At 47.4% G+C, this 23,754-nt stretch overlaps 2 protein-coding genes across 19 annotated transcripts in view; one reads left to right on the top strand and one right to left on the bottom strand.

Annotated features, from left to right (window-relative positions):
- The window catches only part of WDR86 (WD repeat domain 86), a 41,758-nt gene extending 30,057 nt beyond the window's left edge, over nt 1-11,701 (top strand). For 5 of the 8 annotated variants that reach the window (XM_047420327.1, XM_011516151.4, XM_011516147.4 and 2 more), the window contains one exon: nt 136-2,682. In XM_047420327.1, coding sequence (XP_047276283.1) covers nt 136-283 — 148 coding nt within the window. In that variant the 3' untranslated portion in view covers nt 284-2,682. Of the gene's footprint in view, nt 1-135 lie in introns of all 8 variants that reach the window. The other 3 variants (XM_005249990.6, XM_011516146.4, XM_047420328.1) reach the window with 2 other exon arrangements.
- Nucleotides 2,207-23,754, bottom strand: part of NUB1 (negative regulator of ubiquitin like proteins 1) — a 36,638-nt gene continuing 15,090 nt past the window's right edge. For 4 of the 11 annotated variants that reach the window (NM_001363529.2, NM_001243351.2, XM_017012304.2 and 1 more), the window contains 8 exons: nt 20,409-20,515; nt 13,531-13,717; nt 12,688-12,795; nt 11,769-11,921; nt 6,413-6,559; nt 4,713-4,808; nt 3,845-4,022; nt 2,207-3,609 (listed from right to left, as the gene is read on the bottom strand). In NM_001363529.2, coding sequence (NP_001350458.1) covers nt 3,431-3,609; nt 3,845-4,022; nt 4,713-4,808; nt 6,413-6,559; nt 11,769-11,921; nt 12,688-12,795; nt 13,531-13,717; nt 20,409-20,515 — 1,155 coding nt within the window. In that variant the 3' untranslated portion in view covers nt 2,207-3,430. The remainder of the gene's footprint in view (nt 3,610-3,844; nt 4,023-4,712; nt 4,809-6,412; nt 6,560-11,768; nt 11,922-12,687; nt 12,796-13,530; nt 13,718-20,408; nt 20,516-23,754) is intronic. The other 7 variants (NM_001385353.1, NM_001385355.1, NM_016118.5 and 4 more) reach the window with 2 other exon arrangements.

Genomic DNA, 23,754 nt, shown 5'->3' with positions numbered 1-23,754 from the left:
CAGTGGGGCTCAGTCTGCCGAGGGGCCCTGCAGGAGACCCCTCAGCACCCCTCACAGCACCTGAGCGGGGTGCTCTTCAGTCCCTTGATGGTGCCACTTTCTGCATCCATGTGCCCCGGTTGGCCCGGGTGCCAGGAGAGAAGCTGCAGGTGACAGTGTCTGCCGTGGAGAGCTCATCATCTCGCTGCAGAGAGAAGCACCTGCTGCAGGAGCAGCCCCTTCAAGTGGAGCAGCCCCTTCAAGTGGAGCAGCCCTTTCAGGTAGAGCAGCATGCGCTTCATAGTCTTAATGCAGAAGATACTTCATCAGAGACGGCCGGGGCCGCCAGGGATCACCTGCTAGGTGATGGGCGGGTCCGCCCTCGGGCGCGGATGAACAGGTAGGGATTGCACTGTGGGCAGTAGGAAGGAAAGGACGCAGGCGCTGTAACTCCTCTAGGCCAAACCTCCAAACCCTGGGAACCAAAGTGCCCCCGACCCCCACCCCAGGAAAATGGGCCTGTTGGGAGGCAAGCAGATCGGTGCAGGAGAACCCGCAGAAACGGCACCATGCACTGTTCTCCGGGTGAGACTTAAGCACACACAGACCTCGGGGGTGGCCAGGTCTTGCTGCGTCCCGGAGCCATTGGGGCCTGTGGCTGCCACAAGGGGCATACCTACCAGAGAGGACCTTTCCATCGTGCTGAAGGGACGGTTCCGGTGGCGCAGGCCAGAGAACCGCCTTGAGTGCTGCCTGCGGGCAGTGCTGCCGGCCGGCCCTGAGCCTGCACAGACGTTCACACTGACTCCTGCTTGCCGAAGACACTGCTGCTTGGTGATGCTGCGCTCTGGCCTGAGCAGCCCCTCACTGACACGTCAGCTCCAGTCCCCACCTTATCTCCCCACAGCAGAGAATGGAGCATGCATCAAGCCATCCAGAGAAACCCAGTGGGGCATGGACCCAAAACACGGGCGCTGCACTCACTTTGCATTTTTATAGCAACACACATTGGGGTAATTTCTACTTCCATTGCACAGAGAGCTTTGCGAGATGTTGAGGACATAAAGATGGCCAGATGTCCATTTTCGCTCTGGTTTCTGACAGCCTGAGAGACACGGTGAGTGAGAGAGTCTGATCCCCTGAACCCAGGCCTGGTTCCCTTCCAGCCACACCACTGTCGCCTTGCTATGAATGAAGAAACAAGGTGTCTGCTTTTGATAAATTGACTGAGGAGGAGTTGGCTAAGGGAGGAAGGACAGGAGCTACCCATAGGACATATGGGCAGGAACACAAGGACAGGGTAAGGCCGTGATCAGCATCAAGGACACCTGACCAGTTGTGCACACCATTGTGCTGGCATGGGCTGCCCTCACCTGCCTGCTACACGCCCATGCCCACTCCTGCTCCTCTAATGGCATCCAACCTCCCCGCTGTGATCAGCAATCATACCATCCGCCCCCATTCTTCTCTCCCCACAACCCGCACCTTCTGGCAGCCCATGAACATGTCACACTCAGACTGTCCTGCCCCAAATACTATCTTGTTTGTCCCACATCTGGAATGTGCTTTTTCCTCTGACTCCCCAAGGAGAACCCTCCCAGGCCCCCTCCTCTGCAACGGCCTCTCCTCCAACCTCAGCACCGTCCTGCCCCCTCCTCTACCGCCTGTCCGGTGGAGCAGGCCCGGCCCAAGTCTCCATGCCTGGAGGGCAGCCCATTCTGGACATAGCGCATGCCCAGAACTGCCTCCACAGCCGGCTTCCTCTGCGGCTCTCTCTTCACAAGACACGGAAGAGTTTTGGGGCCTGCTGGTGTGGCATTGCTTCTATGATGGCTAAAAACAGCTGGGAAGCTAGAAGACACGCCTGAACCAAGCGCAGGACAGCGATTTGTTAGCCAAAAGCTTAAATTCAGGCCCCAAATCCAAGTGTGGCATTGTGTCAAATGAGGCTGAGACTCCGCGTCACCTCAGCTCACCAGGCACTTCTGAGGCAAACCCTGACAGGTACATTTCAGTCCCCTGCCCAGGATGCACCCCAGCCCCGCTTGGCGTGCGGCATCTTTCACAGCAGATGCCCTCTGCTTCTGAGATCATCCTTCCATCATCTCCTCACAAAACTCAGTGGAAACAGACATCCTGCAATCAAAATGAAGAGCTAGTCACCCAGACACTTTCAACACCTACAGCTGGGGAGGCTGAGTAAATTAATGCAAAATTAGGGTGACAATTTTTGAATATATTTCCCACCTTTTATTTCCATCGGTATCATCCGTTTAAAAAGAATGACAAGAAGATTCCCATCAGTCCAAACTGGACCACCCACACTTTGAAAAAGTTGGAGCATTTCAGCCGGCTCCGCATGATCCATCCTGTCTTCAGTCAGTGCCTTCTGGAAGGGAGGGAAAGTCTTGGATGCACCTGGCACTCAATCCACTCGGCACCTGGCTGCTGCTGTGGTCCTGGGGCTGGAAGGAACTCCCACTGGGCACACATCTACAGAGGAGTGCGTGGCGCAGTGAGGACGGTTACTGCTGGAGCCGACACACAGCGAACTACATACTTTTAGAAAGAGCCTCTGTCACATGGCTAGAACAACAACAACAACAAAGAAAACCCACAAAAAACCTGGAGAAAATATATCTAAATCTCTGATAGGTCTCTTAGCTAGCAGTGAGTTCAGTATGACAGCACAGAGTCTAAAAATATTAATTAAAAATAAATTGCTTTGGTTAGCATTTAAACCTTTCCCATTCAATAGAAGATTTCTGTAATGAGGAATGCTGAATATATATAAAGCCTGACACTCAATCTTGAATTTCGGGGGCGTATTTTACTGAACTAAGAGCATAAAACACTGGCGTCCCAGGCTGAAGCCATTTGCTGCGACCTGGTGTGGCCCCCAAGGCCAGCGCCTCATCGTTATGCCCCACAGCACTTGGAAGGAAGACTTAAAGGACGATTTGAGGGGCGGGGAAAGGGTGGCACAGGAACCCATGTGGCACCCTGGCAGAGATGGCAGCGTGGGAAGCAGGAAGGTCAGGGCAGTGGGTGCAGGAGGCAGGCAAGCTGGGCAGATGGAGCCACAGCTGGAGAGGAAGCGGTCGGGACACCCTTCCCAGGACCCTGCCCTGGACACCTTCCCCAGGACCCCTGTTCTACAGGACCCCTGTTCCTTCCTGTTTCGGGGTAAAACACCAAGCTGGGGAAGGGGTTAGGGACGCAGACCTGGGAGGCAGATGGAACGGCCTGCGCCAGGCCAGAGGAAGCTTCTTCCCCGAGACCACGCATGAAGGCCCTGGGACCCCTCCTGGACTTGTCCCCTGCCCACCCCCTCCTACACCCAAAGAGGACTTGTAATTCAGATAAAAAGTAAGAACAGAAAGAGCTGCATTAGCCTTTTCATAATGATAGCATTTATAAGCAGAAAATTAGCGCTATTTCTGTTCATTATTTAGTTTTTCTTTGTTGCTGACTTCCTATTTTCTACATAGGATAGGTACTCTGCAATAATAATTTCTTCATCTTCCAGAGTTGAGTCAAGATAGTCTTCCTCATGCTCTGGAATGTCTTCCAGTATCTCATTGACGGCCTCTGTCTCCATGTCTTCGTCTGTTGAGGCACTAGAGGTTCCTACAATAAAATACCGCAGGAGTAAGTGAATTATGTGAGGATTGTCCTGGGGACACTGCACGACCACAGTCAACCTCAGACTGTGCCTCTTGCTGGCCACACTGTCCAGGTGGCCGGCCCGGTGACGTCAGGGGACGCCCCCTCAGTCTCCACATCTGCCGTGGCTTAGGGCCACATCTGTTGGCTTCTGAAGACACTTTGCTCTCAATGCGGCCCTCAAAGACCTCAGACCTACCTGCGGAGTCAGAAGGGGACGTGGCTGGCGGGGACAAAGAGTCTTCTGGCGACAGCGGCAGCTCGGGAGGCAGGCTTCCTCCGTTGTGAGCAAGGGTCTGGGCGGCCAGCTGGACGTTGCCTCTGAACACTCTCAGCGCAGCTTCGGCCACGAGTGCATCAAAACCCATGTACACCAACTAGGGGAGAGCGCAGGGGTCACAGCATCAGCCCCTGGCGCCTCTTCTGCCACCCCCGTCAGCCATACGAGTGGACAGCCGACTCTCATGTTTAAGAGCTCCCGGCGTGTGCACCATGGCCCTTTGTGCACAAGTCATGCTTCTGTGCAATGTGAGCGTAGAGCAACCTGGAAGGGGGCTTGGAAGACTCAAGTCGGGTGCGTCAGGGAGCAGCCATCTCAGGACAGGCAGTGACCTCGGGCTGAGAGCAGGGCGCCACACCAGCCTCACCACGAGCACCGCGAGGTCAGTGGCCACAGCATACAGGCGTGCTAACGCGTGTAGGGGCACAAATGTGGACAGAGCCGTCACTTGGGATACAAAGCTGGATGGGTTTCCCAGGTCACAGTGCCATCCTTTTAGGTCACAGGCAGAGAAATGAGGCTGATGCAAACAGTGGTGCATAGACAAAGGCAGCAAACCTAAAGAGAACTTCCTGACACTTCCCCAGTTTTCCTGCTTTCCAAGGAGGCCTCCCCTGCCCTCTGTTACTGCGTGGGTGGCCTCTGAGGTGGGCAGGTTACACCTGGAGCCTGGGAGCCAAGGTTTCAGCACGGACTCCCCCAGTCCTGCTGCCTGATTCACCCGGGTTACCCCAAGCAACCCCACCCGAGGCTGTCCAAGCTGAGGGCACAAAGGCCTGTCACTCACTCGGTCAATGTTTTCCTGGGAAGGACTTTCTTGACGGTTGTCGGTTTCAGGATTGGAATCATTTAACCACCACATCTGAGGATTGCTGAGCAGAATCTAAAACACACAGGAACACCCTTTACCCATCACTAAGAACTCTTCACACATTCAGACAGGCGCTGCACCCTGCCATGTGCTAGGCAGACCCCGCCGTCCTCTGCTGCTATGAGGCAGAGAAAGGGGCTCCCACTCAGGCTGGTGTTCACAGAAGGCTTCCAGCCAGAGACCAGGACAGCTGGGGTTTGAAGGAGGAGCAAGACTAGTCAGGGAAAAGATCCCTTCTGTTAGAGCAGGAAGGGATGGAGAGCAGGTGGAAGCAGCATCCAAGAAAACAGGTTTTGTCAGAGCTACAGACAGAAAGGTCTCAAGCAGCTCAGGGCTGCCTGATTGATCTTTGAAAGCGTCATGCCCTCTAGACTTAAAATGTCAGGCAGGTAGTAGGGTTATTTTGACCCTTGATTTCTTCATCACACAATACTTAATCTTCAAAGACCCTGTGGAGACTTTCCTTTCCAACACTCAGTACTTCCATTTTGACTGGAAGTATTTTTGTGCCACTCGTATAATTCACATCTATTTTGAGACCCATCAGTCCCTTCGAATATTCAGAATTTCCCACCTCTTAATATTTCTCCAACACACAAAAAAACGAACTAGATGATATTCAAATAAAAATTTAAAATTTAACGTATATGTTAAATATACATGTACATAGTTACAAAAGTACTGACTTGTGGAGCCTTCCGGGGAACAGGGCAGGGATAAGAGGCAAAGGCAGGGTGGACTCCCCGTGCCTGCTGCACCCACACCCGCCTCAGCAGGGCAAACGAGGACACCTGCCCTGCACCCCACCCCCTCCAACCCCATCTCTGTCCCCCCAGCCCCGCCCCCAGCACGTGCACAACCTAAGCCAGCTCCTACCACTCTGCTTCCTGCCCGCCGCGCTGCCCCAGCATCTGTCTGGACTGCTGCCTCCACACAGCCAGCCCCCTGCCTCCTGTGCACCCCCTCGGGACCCCTCACCACGTGTGCTCTGAGTTTGTCTCTCACTGACCTGCGGGGCCGAGAGGGCAGAGGGTGGTTCCATGCCAAGCTGCTGAGACGCAGCGCAGCACCTGCCCTACTGAGGATTCGATATGCTTCTCCAACACAGGGAAGGAAGTGGCCCAGGTAAAGTCACTGCTGTCTGGATCCCAACCTGCTGTCACTCCTGAGGGGTTCTTTGAAAAGCTCTCCCTTTGCCAACATGTACGATGGACTAAATAAATAAAACTAGATACTTACATTTAAAATTTTAATGCCAAACAATTATACTACAAGTTGAATTCCCATTCTCTTTTTTCTGCCGTGGAAACTGCCTGTTTCACTAAACTCTGCTGCACACAGAAACCCTACACAAAGTCCTGGCCTGTGGACTGTGCTGGTGTGGACAGGCACCACGTTTTGGAGCCAGGCCTGGGCCAAGCACTGAGCATGGGGCCTCACGTGGCCTCACGCAGCCTGTGTCTGGGCTGGAGCCCAGGAGAAACCTGCCCTTCAGATCCGGATGACGGGGCAGCCCATAGGAGTGAGCCCGGGAGGATGCTGGAGAGCCATGGAGGGAGCTCTGGGCAGGACCCACTGCTCAGGGACAAGGCCAGAGGCCCCGAGGGAGCTGCTACCTTCAGGGCCTCATCCAAGTTCCCGCTGGCTGCGTGGAGTACCTGCTGGGCCGCGTGCGTGGAGTAGCCCATCCCTTTCAGAAACCTGATGTTCTCGAGGCGGCGTCTTTTCTTCTCTTTTTCCTCCTTCCTTATTTGGGCCAGTTCCTTTAGGAAAACAGCAAAGTCCCATCCCAAGTTAGGGACTGAGATTTCACAGCCTCTCAGTCTGCGCTCTGCAGGATTCTCCGCATTTCCAGGCAAAGCCAAAAAACCAAAGCAAAGCACAGGGGGCCCTCTTTCTACCTCTCCTCACCCAGCCAAATGGCAGAGGTGCCACAGAGGCAGAGGGGTGGTGGAAGTGCTGCTTCTGAGGCAGGCAGTGGAAGTGAGATGCCCGTGGGGCAGGAAGGAGGTGCCTCGCCAGCCCCGCCATCCACCATCCGGCATCAGGATGGGCTGCTCGCCAACCCAGCACTCCCACTGCAGAGGTCGCGGGTGTGAGGTGCATGGATTCTCTTCTAGGAACCAGGTAGGAACCGGGTAGGAGAGCTTCTGCACGCGGTGGGAAGGCCTTCCAGCCTTCGATGAATCGCCCAGGGATTCAAGTTAAAATGTGATGTGGAATCAGGGGCTCCTGGGCAATGCCAAAGCTGGTGACCCGCCCCCCACAGCCTGGGGAGCAAGGACTCCAGGGCCTTCTGAGGCCTGTCATTCCATTCGGAACCCACAGAGTGCCCAGAGACAAAGGTCATCTAACCTCTTGGTTCTCAACCCTGTTTCTCAGAGTTGCCTGCTATTGCTGCAGGAGCGCAGGACGGCTGCAGAGGGTTCTAGTCTCTTCACCTCTCCCACCCAGGGCCAATCAGGAGAGTTCCCAATTTATTTTGTAAACTAGTATCCCCATAAAAATGTCATTTAAAAAGGGGATTTTGCTGCTTAAAAACAACAACAACAAAGCAAGTTTGAAAACCAGGAATTTAATCCAACCTCATTATTTTCCCAACAAGGAGACAGAAAGCTTTCAACAAAGTTAAGTGACTTGCTACATTCTCCCAGGGAGACCAGCCCCACCATCAGCAGCAGCGAGGACGGGGGAGAAAACAGACTCCTTCCTTCCAGAGACCTGATCCTGCCTCCTGCCCAGCCCAGGCAACAGGCGCCTCCCTGCATTTTCCCCACAGCAGGAAAGCGGCCTCATCTCTTAGGAAAACAAAAGCATCATCATTGTGGAACCAGACTCCACAGGCCCCACAGTAGGAGCAGGCAGAACAGAGTGGCTGCTGGAAACATCTCCAGGGATGAAGACATCTGTAGACTCATGGCCTGTCTCTATCACAGGAGAACCTCCTGGTGTGGCCCTGGAGTGCCCACAGCGCCAGCTCCCTTTGCTTCCCCTTCAGCTGCACCAGGCCTGTCTCATGCCCCCATTACGTGCTCTACCTCTCAGTGGCCAGTCTCCCCCAGCTCCAGCCCCGCTGCACAGGGCAGCAGGCTCCGTCATTCCAGTCACCTACCTGAAAGCCCGCAGCAGCTCCTGACCACCTCCCCACACTGAGGCACCAGCTCCTTATTCTGCTACTCAGGGCCCCCACTCCCTGGCCCCAACAATGCTTCGAAACTGACCTTATCCTGCCACACCACCCCAACCACACATGCCAGCAGGAGTCTTTCATACCACTCACATTTGCACTTTTATTTACACATACTCCATGTAAAATGCCTTTACTGGCCCCATCCTCTGCTTTCAATACAGTTTCTTCCATTTATATTCCAAAAGGCTAAGAAGCGCACCTAACATCCAAGCACAGAGAAGGACGCTGCCAGCCAGCGGACCTGGGCATTACCTAACACAGACCTCACACCAACTGGGAGCTTCGAAGAATACTTCCTTTCATTACAAATGTCTTAGTCTGTTTCCTTTTAATCATGTAAACACATGTGAGAACATTATTTTCTGAAATTTCTCTTTATACTAAGATGAGTTAGAAAGATAAAGTAGATCAAATCAATGACAGTGAGTACTGCACTGAAGTGGCTACAGTTAAGTAGAATCAGATCTCAAGAGAGAGGCACTGTATGGTCACAACAAGCTGGGATGGCCTCTTAGGAAGGCTACGTCTCACGGCCTGGCCATGCCGAAGCATGATCTGTGAGCTCCGTTTCTACAGCTGTTGCTTTTCTCAGATGAGAAACTGGTCTGTACTCAGGGCCATATTGCACAAAAAATATAAACTTTTAATAATTATGTATTAAAGGCTGGGTGCAGTGGCTCACACCTGTAATCCCAGCACCTTGGGAGGCCAAGGTGGGAGGACTGCTTGAACCCAGGAGTTTTGAGACTGGCCTGGGCAACATGGTGAGACCCCATTTCTACAAAAAAATAAAAATCAGCCGAGAGCTCTTGGCAGGAGGATCATTGGAGCCCGGGAGATCAAGGTTGCAGTGAGCCATAATCACGCCACTGCCCTCCAGCCTGGACAAGAGAGCAAGGCTCTGTCTCAAACAAAAACATGAACGAATTGTTTTACATTCAGCTCAGTCAGATGCTCATACCTAGAACGTTGGAACTCCGAGGGCAGCAGATTTCTCTTGCTCATCTAAAGCTCCGATAGGAGCTCACTTTCTGTGGGACATTGTTTTTGTCTTTCCAGCACCCATTCTACCCCTCCCTGAGGTGTGGGAGGCTGCTCCAGCTCCCCAGGTGGCCCCTGAATGGGCTAAGGTGGCAACCCTCTATCTCTTGCCACAGGCCTGAGCCAGTCTTGGCGTTCCTCCAGCCTCAGTGACAGGTTCAAGGCTGCCCAATCACAAGAAGCTCAGGATTTTCCCTGAGGATTCTGGGACACAGATTATGGCCCTTGTTGTGACTGGATGACACTGATGACATGGGGTGGGGGGTGGGGGTAAAAGACAGACCTCAGGTCCTCAGTGACATCAGTAAGCCACTGAATGAATCACCTAACCCTGAGACCTATCCTACTTCTGGACTTTTTACAAGTAAACGGCCAATAAATCCCACCACATCCCTTGTTTTGATGTTTAGGCCATTTTGGGTTTTTTGTTGTTGTTGTTGCTTTCAGCCAAAGGCATCGTAACTAACAACATCTGTTGGGTGGAAGAGGGAGAAGGATCAACTGCACTATATACACTGGTTTTTTTATTTGCATTTTCTCCAAGGGCTTTTAACTTCAGAAATGTACAAGTGATATGACTCCACTATACTTTAAAAGACCACCTCTGAGCAACAGCTCTTCCCATGTGTAAGATGAGAAGTACCTGTCCTGTGGCCTCTCGGCTGGTCACAGGCAGAAGTGAATGACATGAGTGTGACAATGTTTTATGAACTATAGTCTTATACAGTGATGAGAACTGTTTTCCAAATGATCTCATTTTAAAACACTAGCTTTCCAGATGCTAATAAAATCTTACTTCATTCTCAGTAAACTATCGCAAGAACAAAAAACCAAACACCGCATATTCTCACTCACAGGTGGGAATTGAACAATGAGAACACGTGGACACAGGAAGGGGGACATCACACTCTGGGGACTGTTGTGGGGTGGGGGGAGGGGGGAGGGATAGCTTTAGGAGATATACCTAATGCTAAATGACGAGTTAATGGGTGCAGCGCACCAGCATGGCACATGTATACATATGTAACTAACCTGCACATTGTGCACATGTACCCTAAAACTTAAAAGTATAATAATAATAAAATAAAATTAAAGGAAAAAATAAATAAAAATAAAAATAATAAATTCTTACTGGTAGTGGAGTAATAGTAAAGCAATAAATCAGTATCAGCAATGTTCATTTTTCTGTTAGTACTGAATTAGACCATGTAAAACTCAAACACACAGAACTCAACTTTTCAGCTGGTCGCAGTGGCTCACACCTGTGATCCCAGCACTTTGGGAGGCCAAGGCGGGAGGATCACTTGAGGTCAGGAGTTCGAGACCAGCCTGGCCAAATTGGTAAAACCCCATCTCTACTAAAAATACAAAAAGTAAAGCTGGGCGTGGTGGTGGGCACCTGTAATTCCAGCTACTTAGAAGGCTAAGGCAGAAGAATCACTTGAACCTGGGAGGCAGAGGTTGCAGTGATCACGCCACTGCACTCCAGCCTGGGTGACAGAGTGAGACTCTGGAATAAAAAAAAAAAAAAGAACTCAGCTTTTCAAAGTCTCTGCCTTTACCTACTCATTGACTTCTATAGCAAGACCCAAAGGACCACGATTGGACTAGGCAAGAGAGAAAGGTAATGACCACAGCTGGTGTTGTAAAAGGAGAAACCCTGTGACTGCTCACCACGGAATGAACCCACGAATCCACTCCCTCTCTGGCATCAGGTAGGCAAACAACCACGGGGCTTTCCTGCTCCCATCCAAATACCCCTGAGGCTGCTTTTTTCCTTCAGGATTATCCTAGTGTTTAGCAAAAAGGGAAACGAGGTAACATACATGTGAAGATTCTAGAGACTTCTATGGCTGGAGTTTACAGCTAGAAAGGACCTGTGAGATAATCTAGTACCAACTTCTTGTTTTGGCAAGAAGAAAAATGGCTCTCCTGCTAATATTCCACCATGACCGCCCTCTAGACCTCAGTTCTTTCACTGCAGAACATATTGGATAGAATAAGGATGCTTCCAACTCCAAAATTCTAAGGTTTTCTTTAATGTACTTAATTGTTTCAAATGATTATAGTTTTTTAACCTGTGCTTTCATAATATAATACAACTTGTTTCTATGATTTGACTTATGTTTCTAGGCAAGGATGCAATCCCCAACTTTAATAATGACCTCATGAAAAAACAATTTTGTTTTTAAAATGACTTCCAGAAATACACTATGGTGTTAAAGAAAGAGAGAGAGGGGACCGTTTGCCACCACAGCAGGAAACAAAACTAAGGAGACTGCAGCATGTGAAAAATGATCCAATTGAAAAAGACAAGTTTCGGCCAGGCGCGGTGGCTCACACCTGTAATCCCAGGACTTTGGGAAACTGAGGTGGGCGCATCACTTGAGGTCAGGAGTTTGAGAACAGCCTGGCCAACATGGTGAAACCCCATCTTTACTAAAAATACAAAAATTAGCCAGGTGTGGTGGCACACACCTGTAATCCCAGCTACTCAGGAGGCTGAGGCACGAGAATTGCTTGAACCCGGGAGGCGGAGCTTGCAGTGAGCCAAGATCGTGCCACTGCACTCCAGCCTGGATGACAAAGTGAGACTCTGTCTCAAGAAAAAAAAAAGGACAAGTTTCTCCTTCCTTCCCAATCTGGAGTAATAAAGAGTTCCTGGTTATTAACACTCCTGTGGGATTATCTTTTTTTGTTCTTTCATACCCAAGAGAGCTAGGGCATGTGAAAGTGGGTACCTCTCTGCGGTTGGTAATATGAGTGGCCGCATGATCCACGTTCCCATCACACGCCCTCAGGCCAAGCCGGGCTTCCTGGGCAGTAAACCCCAACTGCAACAAATTGTCCACTTTTGATGGATCAATATATAGCTCTTTAAAGAGCTGACGTGCCTAGAGACAGGGAAATGTAAGAATCATGTAACCACGGCAATACTTAAAGCTTAATACAAAGTGAAAGCCTAAAAGAAATTAGATTGTATCCAATGTGAATTAAAAGGCATCAGATTTTGGATAAAATCTCTAAACTAGGCCTGTTATTAACAAGTACAAATGGAAACAGACCAACACTACCTCTACTCACATAACTTAGCCACAGCACAACACGAGGTAAGAGGCTGGGTGTTGCAGAAGTGACTGGTAACCACTTTGTTTTTGCAACAAAAGCCCCCGAATTTCAGCTGTGCACGTGGCATTTCTCACCCTCCCTTGCAGCTGGGTGTAGCCAGGTAGTGAAGTCGAAGTCAATGGCATGCAGCCACAGCGCTGGGTGCAGCTGCGGGGTCATCTCTCCAGTGGCCTGCTCTGGACTCTCTCTTGCCCCCTCTGCTGGCTGGAAGAGGCACTGACAGGAGCAACCTAGGACGCCTCGCTGAGGCTGGCGGGCTGCTCACTGCTCCGGCCTGGCTCACCTCTAGACGGCAAGATGAGTGAGCCATAAACTTCTATCCAATTAAAGTCACTGTCTTTTTGAAGTCTCATTACAGCATCTGGCTGTACTCTAACATATACAAATATGTTTCTGGTTCAACATCTCCTGTGCACGGAGAAAGCACAGGCATGTTTCTCACAAGTCACAAACTACTAAGTTAAAATCCTTAACTTCTGGGAATGTTTTTTAAAAGGAGGTGAAAATTGGTTACAACTTTACTTTTCTTACCTTGTTAAGATACTCATAAGCCTCTACATCATTTCCACTGTGATAGTTTCGGATCCCTTGAAGTAAGTAGAGTCTTAGAAACAGTACCTTCTCTTTCCCACAATTTCCCTAAAATTATTGAAGAAAAAAAGGATAAAATTGCCTTATTTCTAATTACAGGTCTATAATACTCATCTCTGTCATTCCCTTGGTCTCCAGAGGGGCAACATGATAGGTATTAAAATGTCCATGGCTTCACTATGACTGACGGCAAAAGTGAAGCCCCCTCTTCCCCATCCCCTGTGGTATGATAACATTCCTCATGCCACACAGGAGAGTCAGTGTCAGGGCACCAGCCTCCAGACATGCAGCACAGTGGCCCTTCTGGTCAGCAGAGAAGTATGCAGAAATCCAAACCAGGTATCAGAGAGTCTGCATCAGCAGGATTTTGATGACTTGGGGAAATCAGAAAAATCCTTACTCGAGCCACAGCTCTTGAGCTGTGACTCATTCACGTAAACCATTACTGCTGAAATGTCTATTTTCTGCATTTACATCTTGCAAATTAGACTCTACCGATATAAAGAAGTCAGCAGCTCTCTCCTGGTCAGGGTGATCACTGATGGGGTTCTATGACTAGCAAACCATGTTCCTTTGGGCTAAATGCTCACACGCTAAGTAAGAGAGACAGCCAGATTTGTAAAACATTGAACACTTTATAAATATATAGTTTAAAAAGACTATACTGCATACTACTATCAAAATGAAATTACCTTCTGGCAGTAGTTCAAATACTTTAACAGGAATAAACACAAATGCTAGAAATGGACTCAACGAGACATAAGATGAATTCCAGGAACATACTTTTATGTGGACCAGTCTCTGATGATTTTCTCCGTAACAATTTTTAAAGCATTTCTGGGCCAAGTTTAATTTTTTTTCTGCATCATCAAGGCATTCCAGCTGTTCCAGGCGGAAGTAACACCACACTATATCCAGCTGGAGGACGGCGTAGTTATCCACTGTGTCCAGCAGCTCTCTGCAACACTCACTGGAAAGAGAAGGACAGTGACATCACTGCCAAGCAGCATTTGAAACATTTTTAGCATTTGAAACCTTTTTGTGAATGACTGGAATTCTTTCCCCGTTCTTGGTATATATTCAAAGGCTGACTGCTCTAAAAGAGAGATCCTAATGTTTAGGAAGGGAGCTGTGTTTATAATCTCATCCTTCTAATGGGGGAAAGAAAGAGAAATCAGAAATCAGGGCTTAGGAATCAAAGCTTACCACCACTTGCCCCAGGACACACATGCAGCCCCTTGATAGGAAGCAGAACCCAGGGCCACTGTTTCAGAGGCCCTCAGCAAATACGGGGAAGACCATGCTTTAAAGCTGTGACTTCCAATCCTGACTGCAAATCAGCATCACCTGGGCCAGAGCAACGTTCTTTCTTTCTTTCTTTCTTTCTTTAAGAATCATTGATCCCACCCAGACCAAACATAACAGAAATTTCTGGGGGTTGGGCCTGGTGGTTATACTGCCAGAGTCTCCCCAGCTGATTCTAGTGTACAGCCAGGGCTGAACACCACTTCTTTAAAGACACCAAAAAAATCCCTACGTACTATGAATGCCTCAGCTGATGACGGCTCTGACAAGGCATTCATGTTCAATCATATTCAAGCTGGGGGAAAAACAATCCAGAAAGCACCAGGCTCTAACGGCCCAGCTGATTTCTGAGGGCCTGTGTGCAGGCAAAATTTGACTCCGTATTCGTGGCAGCAGGCTGAACCCAGGCGCAGCAAAGGGAAGAAAGACAGCAACAGAAGTCAGTGTGCTCCAGGAGGAGCACTGACAAAGACAGCCATCAAGGTGACTAATTTTAAGTTATGATTACATTAAAAATTCCTAATGCCAATCTAGGTCTCAAGTCTTCAATAAGAACATTTGGAACCACACATTGTATATGAACAAGGTTTTCTCTCTTTATGTTCATTGGTGTTCTACTAAAAATAAGAATGCTCTTGTATAAAACTACAAAATCCACATGGCCTCAAGCTTCCTGTCCTGCCTATCAAAATATGCATGGAATAAAAAAAAAAGGACTTTAATTTTGTCATTTACTCTTTAAAACAGTAGTCTCCTAAAGAGGGCCCATGTACACAGTCCAGTTGTGGGTGCGGCAAGAAAAATGTATCACAGCAGTATTTTTATATTTATTTTCATCTCTCTCAACATTTCTAATTTCGTGAATGTTTGAGAACACATACACCATGTTTTACACACGTGTGCACGCAGACACACAGATGTGGAGCTGGGTGAGGGGTGCTTTCTCCAAATCTACGGCTCAGCCTGAGAACCTGCCTTTGAGAGAAACAGCAGCGCTTTGTGGATTGTGGTCTGATCTCACAGTCGTGTTGAGATTTCCTGCCTCTAGGCACATTCTGGTCCCAGTGACAGAAGACTCTCCTGCCACTCGCAGGAAAGCAATGGGCATGTGGCCGAACTTCTCCATCTCCTGCATGTTGCTTTAACAGGCTCGTTCATGTTTTACTAAGCATCAAGAGCGTGGGCAGAAATGGCCTCATGTCAGTTAAAAATAAAATCAATATGCACTTATCTCAAGTTTGACCCAGGAGTGAGTATTTATTTGTGCAGCCAAAAAAAAAAAAAAGAGAGAGAAGAAAACCAACAAAATGAACAAACACACAAAAAACCCAAAGCAGAGGTCTCATATTAGAGGGGTACATGTCATCCTTTTAGTTTTGAGAAATCAACACTTATTATTATATATAAAACTATATTTAAACCTGATCATTTGCTTGGGGCAAAGTGGTTTCTTAAAGCCTGGTATAAATTGCATTTAGAAGGCTGGGTGTGGTGGCTCACACCTGTAATCTCAGCACTTTGGGAGGCCGAGGCAGGAAAATCACTTGAACCCAAGAGTTTGAGACCAGCCTGAACAACATAGAGACTCTGTCTCTAAAGAAAAAAAAAAAATTATAAAAATAAAAAATTTCATTTAGAGTGTACTTTTATTAACATTGCTTTGGTTTACAATTTTAGTAGCATTAATATTCAACACTGTTACATTTTCATGCTGACGATATTAAAATAAACGTAAAATATTTATTTAAATAAAATCTACTGAGCCTAGCTTTCAAAAAATTAAATCCTGGCCAGGCACAGTGGCTCACGCTTGTAATCCCAGCACTTTGGGAGGCCGAGGCGGGCAGATCACCTGAGGTCAGAGGGTCAAGACCAGCCTGGCCAACATGGTGAAACCCCATTTCTACAAAAATTAGCGGGGCATGATGGCGGGTGCCTGTAATCCCAGCTACTCGGGAGGCTGAGGTGGGAGAATTGCTTGAACCCAGGAGGCGGAGGTTGCAGTGAGCCGAGATCGTGCCATTGCACTCCAGCGTGGGCGACAGAGCGAGACTCCGTCTCAAAAACAACAACAACAAAAATTAAATCCCATTTGAGCTTAAGTCGGTTATTTAACAGAAATTTATTATGTTTGTCTTACAGTTTTTTTGTTTTTTTTTTTGTTTTTTTTTGTTTTTGTTTTTGAGACGGAGTCTCGCTCTCTCCTCCAGGCTGGAGTGCAGTGGTGCAATCTCGGCTCACTGCAAGCTTCGCCTCCCGGGTTCCTGCCATTCTCCTGCCTCAGCCTCTCAAGTAGCTGGGACTACAGGCGCCTGCCACCATGCCCGGCTAATTTTTTGTATTTTTAGTAGAGACGGGGTTTCGCCCTGTTAGCCAGGATGGTCTGATCTCCTGACCTCGTGATCTGCCTGCCTCGGCCTCCCATAGTGTTGGGATTACAGGCGTGAGCCACCGCGCCCGGCCAGGCTTACCTTTCTTGAAATTAATATTTATTTAACATAAAAATTTTAGGCCAGGCGCGGTGGCTCACACCTGTAATCCCAGCACTTTGGGAGGCTGAGGCGGACGGATCACCTGACGTCAGGAGTTCAAGACCATCCTGGCCAACATAGTGAAACCCCGTCTCTACTAAAAATACAAAAACTAGTCGGGAGTGGTAGTGGGCACCTGTAATCCCAGCTACTTGAGAGGCTGAGGCAGGAGAATCGCTTGAACCCAGGAGGCAGAGGTTACAGTGGGCGGAGATTGCAGTAAACTAAGATTGCGTCACTGCACTACAGCCTGGGCGACAGAGTGAGACTCCGTCTGAAAAAATAAAATAAAAAAATAAGCCAAACTTACCTAACTTTTTTCAAGAAAGGTTAGCTAAAAAGTCATTTTCAATTTTATTACTGGTTTTAGGGAATTGGATTATAGTGTGCTGTAGTGTAGTTTTTTTCTGATATTTCTTGTACTTGGGGTCATTAAAGTCATTGCATCTGGGGGTTTATAGTTTTCATCAAACTGGGAAAAATTAATGGCCATTTTTTTCTTCAAGTATTGTTTCTGTCCCACATGTCTGCCTTTCCAGGGACTCCAATTACATGCATTTTAGGCCGCCTGAAATTGTGCCACAGCTTGCAGATGCTCTGTTCATTTTTTTTTTTTTTTAGCCTTTTCTCTGTTTTTTCAGATAGTTTCTATTGCCTTATGTAACATTTAACTAATCTTCTCTTCTATAGTGTCTATTCTGCAGTTCATCCCACCTAATGTACTTTTCATCTTGGATGTTGTACTTTTCATCTCTTACATTCTAATGTGGGTCTTTTGAATGTCTCCCATGTCTTTATCTGACATGTTCAGTTGTTCCTCTGCCTTCTTCAGCAGATGGATTACAGTCACTGTTTTAATGTCCTTGTCTACTAATTCTATCTTCTGTGTCACTTCTGGATCTGTTGCTACTGACTGATTTTTTTGCTTGTTATAGGTTACATTTGCTTGTTTCTTTGCATGCCTGCTAATTTTTCAGTGGATGCTGGATATTTTTGAATTGCTAAATTATTGAGTTTTGTTAGGGATGCACTTATTTGAAAACGGTAAGTTAAGGGTACTGTTCAGGAGTAGCTTTTAAGCTTTGTTAAGTGAAACCAAATTATGCCCTAGTGCTGAGGCAACACCCTTCTGAAGACTCTATTTGACGCCCTGTGACTACCAAATCCTCCACTCTGGCTGGTGGGAACATAAACTATTCCTGGCCTTCTATGAACTCGGAGGATTATTCCCTGCTTCTTTCATGTGGTACCTTGCCCAGCCCTGGGCGGTTTCCTCACACACATGTGCTGATCATTACTGAGCAGAAGACTCAAAAGGGCTCCTCTGAAGCTCTCTGACACCCTCTCTCTGGCAGCTTGCTCCTCTCACCTCCTTGGCCTCCTGCAAGCCCAGCTCCATCTCTTTAACTCCAGGGAGCACAAGGCTCTGCCTGGGTTTGCCCTCCCTGCCCCGTAACCTGAAACTTCTCCAGACACTGAGCTCCCCTCATGTTTCCCTACCTCAGGGTCACCGTTCTGCACTGCCAGGAAGTCACTGTTTCATACAATTTGGGGAAAGAAACTATTCTTGGTCATACTACATACCATACTCCAAGACATATGGTAGGAAGTTGTGACAAAACTTCTAGCTTACTTGGAGAAGTAAGGGGGAAAAGTCAAATGGAAAAGGAAATGGAAAAACTGAAGTTTCCTCCATCTGCATTCTATTTGGCTTACATTACTGCTGATTTCCTTTATGAAAAGAGAGAAATCACACACACACAAAAATATGCTAACAAGTTGGCCAGGATAAATAGATGCCCAGGATAAATAGATGCCCAGGAAAAAAAAAACTTTCTCTACTTAGAAAGACATTGTTAATTATTATTTCATTATTATACCTACCACTTACCGGACATGTTAATGTATCATGAACTGAAGATGTAGCCAAATTTGTATTCAATGGTTCCCTGAGACCTAAAAATTATTTCAAGGATTTGTCCAGGATAAAAAGATTGAGGGAGGCTCACACAGATGTATGAAGATCAACCATGTCTTTATAACTGCAGAAGCTTAGTTATGAGTGTATATGGAAGCTCATTATACTAATTTTTATTTTTATGACTATTTGAAATTTTCCATAATAAAAAATTAGAAACAACTATGGAAGGGAATGAAAAATTTACCTAAACTTTTAGGACCTAATTTAAAGCCTGTTTACCCTACACTGTTTGCAGAAGAGAATGAAACTGACATCCAGAAAGAGGCAGAGACAGAGACCCCAGAAGCACAAACCAGCCCTCATTCTCACTATTCCCAGCCCGGCCCCTCCCCTCCCAATTCCTTTTTTGTGTACGTTAAAGTTGGGACTTGTTCACTTAGAACCCAAAGGCACTGACCAATGGAAAACTATAAATATTTGCATTCATCTTCTGGGAGTATACAGTATTATCTTGGGAATGCACCAAAACAGAAAAGAAGTTAACACTAAATTTGTTAACTTTTGACCATTTTCAAAAAATCAAGTCTACTTTTCAAATGTTGAATATGTCTGCATCATAGTCTCTTAGTACCGTTTCCCATGAAGAGGAACCAGGACTCCTTGGGAAATTGCTGATTCCTGGTCTGGGCATTAAATGCCCAAGATGAGCCTGGAGTATCTTTGGATTCCAGAAATCAGAGACTGCAAAGACTAGCAGGGTCAGGTCAAAAAAACATGGGCTGCCTGCCAGCCAGCATGACCAATTTAAGCACTGAAGTTTGAAACACATCAAATGTTTTAAATCCATGAGTTAATAATGACACTTAAGAAAATGAAAAGAAAAAGAAACCTCTTTGGTCACCTTTGGAGGGTGATAGTGAAGCAACTCATTTATTCTGAAAACAAGAAAATAAGGAGAAAGAAACAAAGTATTTTATTCTAACTTTCCTATACAAATTGTACCTCCACATATAAAATAACTGATGAGCAAAAACAAATTTTTCAGAATTCCAGCAATAAATGCAGAAGGGAGGCTGGGTGCGGTGGCTCACACCTGTAATCCCAGCACTTTGGGAGGCCAAGGCAGGAGGATCACATGAGTCCAGGAGTTCAAGATCAGCCTGAGCAACACAGGGAGACCCCATCTGTATAATTAAAAAAAAAAAAAAAAAAAAAAAGCCGACACAGCGACTCACACCTGTAATACCAGCACTTTGAGAGGCTGTGGTGGGTGGATCACTTGAGCCCAGGAGTTTGAGACTAGTATGGGCAACATAGTGAAACCTCATCTCTACAACAAATACAAAAAAATTATCTGGGCATGGTGATGTGCACCTGTGGTGATGTGCACCTGTGATCCCAGCTACTTAGGAGGCTGAGGTGGGAGGATCACTTGAGCCCAGGAGATGGAAGTTGCAGTGAGCTGAGATCATGCCACTGCATTCCAGCCTGGGTGACAGAGTGAGACTCTGTCTCAAAAAAAATAAGTACAGAAGGAATAATATCACCATTATACAGCTCTTAAACAACGGATTTGAGGAATAATCATCAATACTACCCCAAAACCATTAGGTGAAAAGCTGACAGGAAACTTTATAATGGAAAGTTCCGACTAGCAACATAGCACATGTACAGAAGAAGAGAGGATATCCTACCTGCTTGAAAATTCTTTTCTTTACAGGGAGGAAAGGTCAATTAGAAATACAAAGGGAAGAAGAAATTCACCAGTTTACACCATAACTACTCTTTTACATTAACCACTGTTGTAGATGAAAGTCTGCAGTCTCAAGGGCATGGCAGGGTGTTCTGTATAGTCTGGGCCATCTTCCTTAAAGCTGGTGTTCACCAAGTACAAAAGCGCCTACCAGAAATATTTGTCAGCGTCCAACAGACATGGCAAGGCTATTCCATATTCTTTTCTTTTCAGGAAAGCTCTGCCCTTCTCATGATATCCCATAGCTAACATAAGGGCCTAGGAAAAAATACAAATTTAAAAAACATCACTTTAAAATATAATAAGGCAAATTATATTAAAAGCATATTACTTTTTAAAAAACAAAGTAAAAAAAATGAAAACAAGATCATAACTCAATCTAAAAGCCAAAATTAAGAAAAATATAATTAATTAAAGCTTTATTTCATTTAAATACTGAAGCCAAACACTTCATTTATTATAGCTGATACAATCCTAACCAGCACTTGGCCCTTTGCTTTCATTAGTTTATTTTCGTATCCACTGATCTGGATTCTACTTCTAATATTCTATTCAGACTAAACATATTAAAAAGCAGCCAGTAATGCTTGTATCATTTTTATTTTATTTATTTTATTTTTTTGAGACGGAGTCTCATTCTGTCGTCCAGGCTGGAGGGCAGTGGTGCGATCTCGGGTCACTGCAACCTCTGCCTCCTGGGTTCAAGCGATTCTCCTGCCTCAGCCTGCCGAGCAGCTAGGACTACAGGCATGAGCCACCATGCCCGGCTAATTTCGTATTTTTAGTAGAGATGGGGTTTCACCATGTTGGCCAGGCTGGTCTCAAACTCCCGACCTCAGGTGATGTGCCGCCTTGGCCTCCCAAAATGCTGGGATTACAGGCGTGAGCCACGGTGCCCGGCTGCTTGTATCTTTAAAAAGGGCATTCATTTCACTTTCTATTCTTTTTTTTTTTTTGAGACAGAGTCTCGCTCTGTCACCCAGGCTGGAGTGCAGTGGCGCGATCTCGACTCACTGCAAGCTCCACCTCCCAGGTTCACACCATTCTCCTGCCTCAGCCTCCCAAGTAGCTGGGACTACAGGTACCCACCACCACGCCTGGCTAATTTTTTTTTTTGTATTTTTAGTAGAGACAGGGTTTCACCGTGTTAGCCAGGATGGTCTCGATCTTCTGACCTCGTGATCTGCCCGCCTCGGCCTCCCAAAGTGCTGGGATTACAGGCATGAGCCACCGTGCCCGGCCTCACTTTCTATTCTTAATCATCTAGTTTTTTCAGAAGTTGTTTGTCAACTTTAGTATTTCCAAAACAAATTTTTTTATTTTATTTTTTTTTTGAGACAGAGTCTCGCTCTGTCTTCCAGGCTGGAGTGCAGTGGCGCGATCTCGGCTCACTGCAACCTCTGCCTCCCGAGTTCACGCCATTCTTCCACCTCAGCCTCCCGAGTACCTGGGACTACAGGCGCCCACCACCACGCCTGGCTAATTTTTTTGTATTTTTAGTAGAGATGGGGTTTCATTGTGTTAGCCAGGATGGTCTCGATCTCCTGATCTTGTGATCCACCCACCTCGGCCTCCCAAAGTGCTGGGATTACAGGCGTGAGCCACCGCGCCCGGCCCCAAAACAATTTTTAAAAGGTGATCCAAAATTTTTTGAAGTTCATTAGATTTTTCAATTTAAATGTTCGCATAATTCAGTCTGATAAAGCAGTAGTCCCAACCTTTTGGCACTAGGGACTGCTTTCATGGAAGACAATTTTTCCATGGACAAGGAGGAAGGCAGATGGTTTCAGGGTGAAAACATTCTACCTCAGGTCATCAGGCATTAGATTCTCATCAGGAGTGCACAGCCTAGATCCCTCACATGCCCAGTTCACAATAGGGTTCATGCTCCTAAGACTCTAATGCCGCCGCTGATCTGACAGGAGGTGGAGCTCAGGCGGTGACGCTCACTTGCCTGCTGCTCACCTGCTATGTGGCCCAGTTCCTAACAAGCCACGGACTGGTACCCATCTGCAGCCTGTGGGGTGGGAACCCCTGTGATAAAGGTTTTCCAAAAAGATCTGGATGTCGTCATTCAATGTAAGAGAGCAGTGGGCAAGTAATCATCATTTTCAAAAGACAAACATTGGCCGGGCACAGTGGCTCACACCTGTAATCCCAGCACTTTGGGAGGCCGAGGCAGGCGGATCACGAGGTCAAGAGATTGAGACCATCTGGCCAACATGGTGAAACCCCGTCTCTACTAAAAATACAAAAATTAGCTGGGCATGGTGGCGTGCACTGTAGTCCCAGCTACTCAGGAGGCTGAGGCAGGAGAATCGCTGGAACCCGGGAGGCGGAGGTTGCAGTGAGCCAAGATTGTGCCACTGCACTCTAGCCTGATGACAGAGCGAGACTCCGCCTCACACACACACAAAAAAAGACAAACATCAATCTACTGATAACTCAAACACTGATCCACAGTTCTGTTATGAAAACAACTTTAATCCGGCCGGGCGCAGTGGCTCATGCCTGTAATCCCAGCACTTTGGGAGGCCGAGGTGGGTGGATCACCTGAGGTCAGGAGTTCAAGAACAGTCTGGCCAACATGGCGAAACCCCGTCTCTACTAAAAATACAAAAATTAGCCAGGCATGGTGGGGCACACCTGTACTCCCAGCTACTTGGGAGGCTGAGGCAGGAGAATTGCTTGAACCAGGGAGGCGAAGGCTGCAGTGAGCTGAGATCGCACCACTGCACTCCAGCCTGGGCAACAGAGTAAGACTCCTTTTCAAGAAAAAAAAAAAAAAAACTTTAATCTTTAATTTTAAACAGAGTAACTCATAGAATGAAGCCTACTCAAAACCATCCCTTAAAAACAGAAAAATTAAAATTAATTTGACCCATAGTCATTCATTATAAGAAGCTACTGAACCCTTTCTCAGAGATTGATCTTAGAGTCCAAGTTCCAGAATGCTGCTATAGAGGCCCCCAAGGGGCTGGGTGCAGTGGCTCACACCTGTAATCCCAGAACTTCGGGAGGCCGAGGCGGGCGGATCATCTGAGGTCAGGAGTTCAAGACCAGCCTGGTCAACATAGCAAAACCCTGTCTCCACTAAAAATACAAAAGTTAGCCAGGCATGGTGGTGCGTGCCTATAATCCCAGCTACCCAGGAGGCTGAAGCAGGAGAATGGCAACAGAGCGAGACTCCATCTCAAAAAAAAAAAAAAAAAAAATTAGCTGGACATGGTGGTGTGTACCTGCAGTCCCAGCTACCCAGAAGGCGGAGGCGGGAGGATCGCTCAAGCCCAGGAGGTTAAGGCTGCAGTGAGCTATGATGGTGCCACTGTACTCCAGCCTGGGTGACAGGGCAAGACCCTGTGTCTTAAAAAAACAAAAACACGGCAGAGTTCGGTGGCTCACGCCTGTAATCCCAGCAGTTTGGGAGGCCAAGGTGGGCAAATCACCTGAGGTCGGGAGTTCAAGACTAGCCTGACCAACATGGAGAAACCCTGTCT

Source organism: Homo sapiens, chromosome 7 (assembly GCF_000001405.40).
Source record: "Homo sapiens chromosome 7, GRCh38.p14 Primary Assembly".
Taxonomy (NCBI): Eukaryota; Metazoa; Chordata; class Mammalia; order Primates; family Hominidae; genus Homo; species Homo sapiens.
Note: the sequence above shows the minus strand (reverse complement) of the source record. Positions and strands in the feature narration are given on the sequence as shown.